The sequence below is a fragment of the Homo sapiens genome, chromosome 5, assembly GCF_000001405.40.
Source record: "Homo sapiens chromosome 5, GRCh38.p14 Primary Assembly".
Taxonomy (NCBI): domain Eukaryota; kingdom Metazoa; phylum Chordata; class Mammalia; order Primates; family Hominidae; genus Homo; species Homo sapiens.
This window is the reverse complement of record NC_000005.10, coordinates 51,570,381-51,577,001: the sequence shown is the minus strand read 5'-3', so window position 1 is coordinate 51,577,001 and position 6,621 is coordinate 51,570,381. Positions and strand designations below refer to the sequence as shown.

Sequence of the window (6,621 nt, the reverse complement as noted above, 5' to 3'; positions counted from 1 at the left end):
CCACCCACCTCGGCCTCCCAAAGTGCTGGGATTACAGGCATGAGCCACCTTGCCCGGCCTTGTCTGCTTTTTAATTGGATTATTAGGTTTTGTGGTTTTGTTTGGTGGGGGCAGGGGGAGTTTGTTGTTGTTTTGCTGTTGAGCTGAATTCCTTATATATTTTGGATATTAATTTCTTATTGGATAAATAATTTGCAAATATTTTCTCCCATTCAACAGGTTGTCTCTTCATTCTACTGATTATTTCCTTTGCTGTACAGAAGCTTTTTAGTTTAATATTGTTCCATTTGTCTATTTTTTGTTTCATTGCCTACACTTTTGAGGTGTTAGATGTAAAACCTTTGCCTAGACTAATGTCCTTTAATGTTTCCCCCATGTTTTCTTTTAATGGTTTTGTAATTTTGGTCTTACATTTAGGTCTTCAATCCATTTTGAGTTAATTTTTATATATGGTGACCAATATGGGCCTGGTTTCATTCTTCTGCAGATGGATATCCACTTTTCCTTGTGCCATGTAATTAAGAGGTGTCTAGAACAATGTATTTTCTTGGCAACTTTGCTGAAAATCAGTTGTCTATAAATATGTGGATTTATTTTGGGTCCTCTATTCTGTTCCACTGGTCTATGTGTCTGTTTTTATACCAACACCATTCTGTTTTGGTTACTATAGCTTGGTAATATATTTTGAAGTCAAGTAATGTGATGCCTCCAGCTTTGCTTTTTTTGCTCAGTATTGCTTTGGCTATTTCGGCTTTTACTGGTTCCATACCAGTTTTAAGACTTTTTTTTTCTGCTGCTGTGAAACATGATGTTGATATTTTGATAGAGATTGCATTCAATCTGTAAATTGTTTGGGGTAGTGGTATGGTCATTTTAACAGTATTAATTTTTCTGATACATGAGCATGAGATGTCTTTCCATGTGTTGGTGTCCTTTTCAATTTCTTTCTTCAGTGTTTTGTAGTTTTCATTTCAGAGGTCTTTCACCTCCTTGGTTAAATTTATTCCTAGGTATTTCAGTATTTTTTGTAGCTATTGTCAATGAGATTGCCTTATTGATTTCTTTTTTGGCTATTTTCTTACTGATGTATAGAAACACAACTGATTTTTTTCATGTTAGTTATGTATCCTGCAACTTTACTGGATTTGTTCATGATGTCTAAGAGTTGTTTTGATGGAGTCTTTAGGTTTTTCTAAATATAAGATCATGTCATCTGCAAAGAGAGACAATTGACTTCTTTTCTAATTTGGATGCCTTATATTTCTTTCTTTTGCCTGATTGCTCTGGCTAGGACTTACAGCATTATATTCAATAGGAATGGCAAAATTGGGCATCCTTGTCTTGTTCCAGTTCTTAGAACAAAGACTGTTGGCTTTTTTTCATTCAGTATGATGTTACCTGTGGTTTTGTCATATATGGCTTTTATTATGTTTAGGTATATTCCTTCTGTGCCTAGTTTGTTGAGAGTTTTTATCATGAAGCGTTGTTGGACTTTATCAAAAGCTTTTTCTTTGTCTATTGAGATGATCATATGATTTTTGTCTTTTATTCTGTTGATACAATCTATGATGTTTTTTGATTTGCATATGTTGAACCATCATTGCATTCCTGGACGAAATCTCATTTAATTTTATGTATTATCTTTTTGATGTGCTGTTGGATTCAGTTTGCTGGTATTTTGTTGAATATTTTTCTGTTTATCTTCATTAGTCTATAGTTTTCTTTTTTGTTGTTGCTGTCTGGTTTTTCTGTGTCAGTTGAGATTTGTTGATAGTCTTTTAATTCTAGACATTAATTTTTGGAGAATAGGAAACAGAGATTATGATATAAGGTCATGTCTACCACCAACTTGGGTCTAACAGGAGCAAATTGACATCTAAGTGCAAAGAGAGGAAAATTTCAGTGCTCAAAGTTGTAATATTTTAATAACATATATTTTAATTAAAGTATTTTATACCAGAAATAGAAATAATTAGTAGCTATTGATTATCATCTTCTCTAAAGGAGAGGCTATACTAATTTTGAGATGCCTACCTGAAATGTAGTAGTAAGAAAAGAATACACTAGCTCATCAGTATGAAATTGTTCATTAATATAACATAATATAAAATAAATCACATGTAAAATAAAATTATTATATTAGCCTAATTTTTTATCATCCTGAATTGCTTTTCAAATGTCCATCATTGCATCTCTGGACTAAATCCCATTTAATTTTGGATTACTCATGTAAATAACCGAATATTGCTATTTTTAATAACTGGCTTTCTCTATTTACACCTAGCTTTTAACCCAACCAATGTAGATCAGCTTCCAAGAATATTGTCTATAGGAATACCTATAAGAATCATATTTATAGCAATGACTACATTCATTCAAACATTTTAAAGCTACATTCATAGGCATTTTCTTTGATCAAATTCTTTCAAATTTCCATTGACTCTTTTCCCCAAAAGGATTTATTTTTATCAGAAATATTCAATCCTGATCCAAAGAGCTGAGTGCCCTCATGTACACATATTATTTCATGATGATTATAAACAAATATAGAATATACTTAACTCTGAAATTTCTGTGACAATTGGGTCAATAATGAAATGAAGTTTATCTAAGTCTTCTTTCTTTCTGTCCTCTCTTACTCTTTCTTATTCCTATTCTTCTACCTCCTATTTAAATTTCTAAAGGCAGCAAAAGTCACTTATCTCTCACTGATTGTCCTCCATTAGAGGACACTGAAAGAAAAAGAAGTAATGAGCATGAATATTTACAAGCACCTGGTTGGCACCGTTTAGTGAAAAATAATAAAACTCTTATTCAACATCTGGAACTAAGACACCTTTTGCATAAAATTAAGATCTCTTTGCACAATAAGACTGATCTCAGCGTAAAACTAAGGTCTCTTTGCACAATAAGACTAATCTCAAAAAACAGCAAACTCTCAAGAGAGCAACCAAAGACCCAACACGGATTACTTTAGGAACAGGGAGTCAGACGAATGGCCTAAGGATTAGTGCTTTCTGTAATACAATAAGAGCGTGACAGTATGAGAACTCTGTTTAATATAGTATGATCTTTTTCAAGAAAGATTGTATTCCATCAAGGAGAATTATGAAGCTGTAAATTACATTGTGTCACAGCTAGTAGTATTAAATACCAAGTGTTTAATTAGCAGTTTTAATTTTATATTCTTGCTTAGATATACCTCTACAATACTTGAAAGATGCTTTTTGCTGAAAACATTTTTAATCAGATAAAAATCAAAGAAGAAATGTCTAAGCACCACAAATATGATGTATGACTTGGCAGTGAAGAAAAACTAAATTATTAGTAAGATAAAGTAATCTATATTTATATTGTACTTGCTTACAATGTATTATATTAAACCTAAAAGTAATAGCAATCTAAGATACTTCTGACACTGAGAATTCTTTCCAGAAATCTTAGAAAAGGCATTAAGAAAAATTAATCCAACAAATGTATTATGAGAGCATGTGCCACTTGTATACACATCTCCAATCTTCTGCTTGTCATAATACTTTTGGGTTGCTTAAGTTCACTTAAATTAAAAGGAATTAATTGCCTTGGAATCAGCTGTCTTGGAACTGTCTTGAAATCAGCTCCACCATTTGATTGACAAAATAATTTTATCTCTTTGGTCTTGTGGTGCTACATAACTGAATTTATACATCAACCTACGCCCTTGTAGTTCTTGAGCAGGACACTACAAAGAGACAAAGGGGAAACTGTATAAAAACCACATAACAAACTTGGGGCAGTTCTTTCTTCATCTCCCTAGAATTAATCAGTCTTCTAACATTTGTAATTATGATATCCTTGCTTTTCATTTTAGTTTTGCAGCACACACATACACACATCTATGATATACATATACATATACATTATATATGTATATATGTAGGTATGTGTGTGTGCTACAAAAAGACTAGTACAAAAGGATTAAGCCCTTAATGGAATACAATCTTTCTTTGCTTTCTTCTACAGAAAAATCATAACGTATTAAACAGTTCTGATACTGTCATGCTCTTATATTACAGAAAGCACTAATCCGTCGGCCAAATAAGCACACACATGTGGACATATTACAAACACATATGTGTATATATGTGTGTGTATCATACATGTTTTGGTTTGAATGTTTCTGTTCCCTAAAAGTTAGTATGTTGAAATTCTAATCCCTGAAGTGATGACATTAGGAGGTAGGGCCCTTAGGAGGTGATTAGACCATGAGAGTAGAGGCCTCATGGGGAAATGTACTTATAAAAGAGGCTGGGCGCGGTGGCTCACACTTGTAATCTCAGCACTTTGGGAGGCCGAGGCGGGCGGATCACGAGGTCAGGAGATCGAGACCATCCTGGCTAACACGGTGAAACCTCGTCTCAACTAAAAATAGAAAAAAATTAGCCGGGCGTGGTGGCGGGCGCCTGTGGTCCCAGATACTCTGGAGGCTGAGGCAGGAGAATGGCGTGAACCTGGGAGGCGGAGCTTGCAGTGAGCCGAGATGGCACCACTGCACTCTAGCCTGGGCGACAGAGCGAGATTCCATCTCAATAAAAAATAAAAATTAAAAAAATTTAAAAAAATTTTTTAAAAAAGGCCCAAGGGAACTAGCTAGCCCCTTCCACCATCGGAGGACACAGTGAGAAAGCATAGTCTTTGAACAAGAAAGAGCTTTCACTACACACTAAATCTGTCAGTGTGTTGATCTTGGACTCCCCGCCTCCAGAATGGTGAGAAAATATATTGCTGTTGTTTATAAGCTACACAGTCTATGGTATTTTGTTAAATCAGCCCAAAGATTAAGGCAATTCGTGTGTGTGTTTGTTTCTGAATGATATAGAGTCGCTCTGTCTGATTTTGAACTATATGTAAATAATGTCATTTAATATGTTTGTACTTTGCTTCTTTCACATAACGTTTGTAGAATAGGAATTCACCTATGTTGTATGTACAGCTCTAGTTCTCACATTTAACATGTGCTACATAACATTAATTCCTCTGAATGTATCGTAAATTATACATCAATTCCACTTTTTTTTTCAATAAGTAGTTTTGTTGCCCAGGCTGGAGTGCAATGGCATGATCTCGGCTCACTGCAACCTTTGCCTCCCGGGTTCAAGCGATTCTCCTGCCTCAGCCTCCTGAGTAACTGGGATTACTGGGGACCACCACCATGCCCGGCTAATTTTTTTGTATTTTTGATAGAGACGGGGTTTCACCATGTTGGCCAGGCTCTTCTGGAACTCCTGACCTCAAGTGATCCACCCTCCTCGGCCTCCCAAAGCGCTGGGATTACAGGCTTCAGCCACTGCGCCCTGCCCCATTCCACTATTAACAGACATTTTAGTTTTTCTGGGTTGGGGCTATCGTGAACATTGCTGCTATAAAAATTCATGTGCATGTCACCTGGTTCACACTGACAAGAGTTTCTCTGGGGTATACAGCAAGAAGTAAAATTATTAAATATTAGCAAAGTTTTCTCTATTATGTTTAAGAAATCCTTTACTGGCATGAGATGAAGGACCTATTCTCCCAGGTTATTTCCTGAAGTCTGATAGCTTTGCCCTTCACATTTATGTTTTTCATTTATTAGCAATTGATTTTTTAGTATAGGGTGTGGTCAGGATATAATTTCATTTTTTAAGTTTGAATACTTATATGTTAGTAATTGTTGTATACATTAATTTTATATTAACCCTTTGATAAATTATTTATATTTTCAATTTTATTTATGTATGTTCCACTTATTTATTTCACTTGTTATTTCTTCCATATGACAACTTTATTTGGATTTCTGTTTCTTATCAATGGAGTACATTCATGAAAGTTTTCTTCAGCTGGGTACATTGGTGGACTGACTTTTATTTTGCCTGAATTCTTAAAATATATGTTTGTTTATTGTGGAATTTGAGGTTGGCATTTATTTGTAATTTTCAGTGACAGAGAAGTCAGTTGTCTGTCTAACTTTTGCTTCTTTGTAGTTAATTTATCATCTCTGACTGCGTCCAACATCTGTTTGTCTTTCATATTCTACGTTATATTTTTGATGTTTCTAAGTGTAGATGAATTTTTAAATTTCTTGCTTTGGATGTGCAAATTTTTGAGTTTATATAGGGTAGAATATTCTGAGTTATTTGCCCTTCAGGTATAAAAACTCTGTCACATTCTCTTTCTTCTCTCTGGAATTCTGATTAGATAAGTATTAGAATGTCTTGCTATATTTTCCTCATCTATTAACCTCTCTTTCATATTTTCTATTTTTCTGTGCTGCACTCTGATTGGTTTCCATTAACCCATCATCCAGGACACTCTAGTTGTATTTAATTTACTGTTAAATAGATCTTTATGCTTGTAATTTCAATTATCTCATTCTTATAATTTCTAGAATTCTGTTGGACAATTTTTCAAATTTCTCAGTCACTTTTATAGTTTACTGTTCTCTGGGTGTATTTTCTGGTTTGTCTTTAAATTTTTTTTAACAAAATAAACACAGTTATTTTATAATCTGTGTCCGGTAATTCCCATATCTGCAATCTTTGCAGGTTTGGCTTATGGCATTCTTTTTTCTACTAGATCTGAGTTTAATCTGAGTTTAGAGCTGTT

General features: G+C 34.2%; 1 annotated feature.

The window, feature by feature from the left end:
* Positions 2,397–3,019: an enhancer, noted in NCBI's record as "NANOG hESC enhancer chr5:50869817-50870439 (GRCh37/hg19 assembly coordinates)". NCBI's record gives its function as "activates a minimal SCP1, AML or CMV promoter by ChIP-STARR-seq in naive H9 embryonic stem cells {active_cell/tissue: H9 hESC(naive)}" and the evidence as "EXISTENCE:reporter gene assay evidence [ECO:0000049][PMID:30033119]".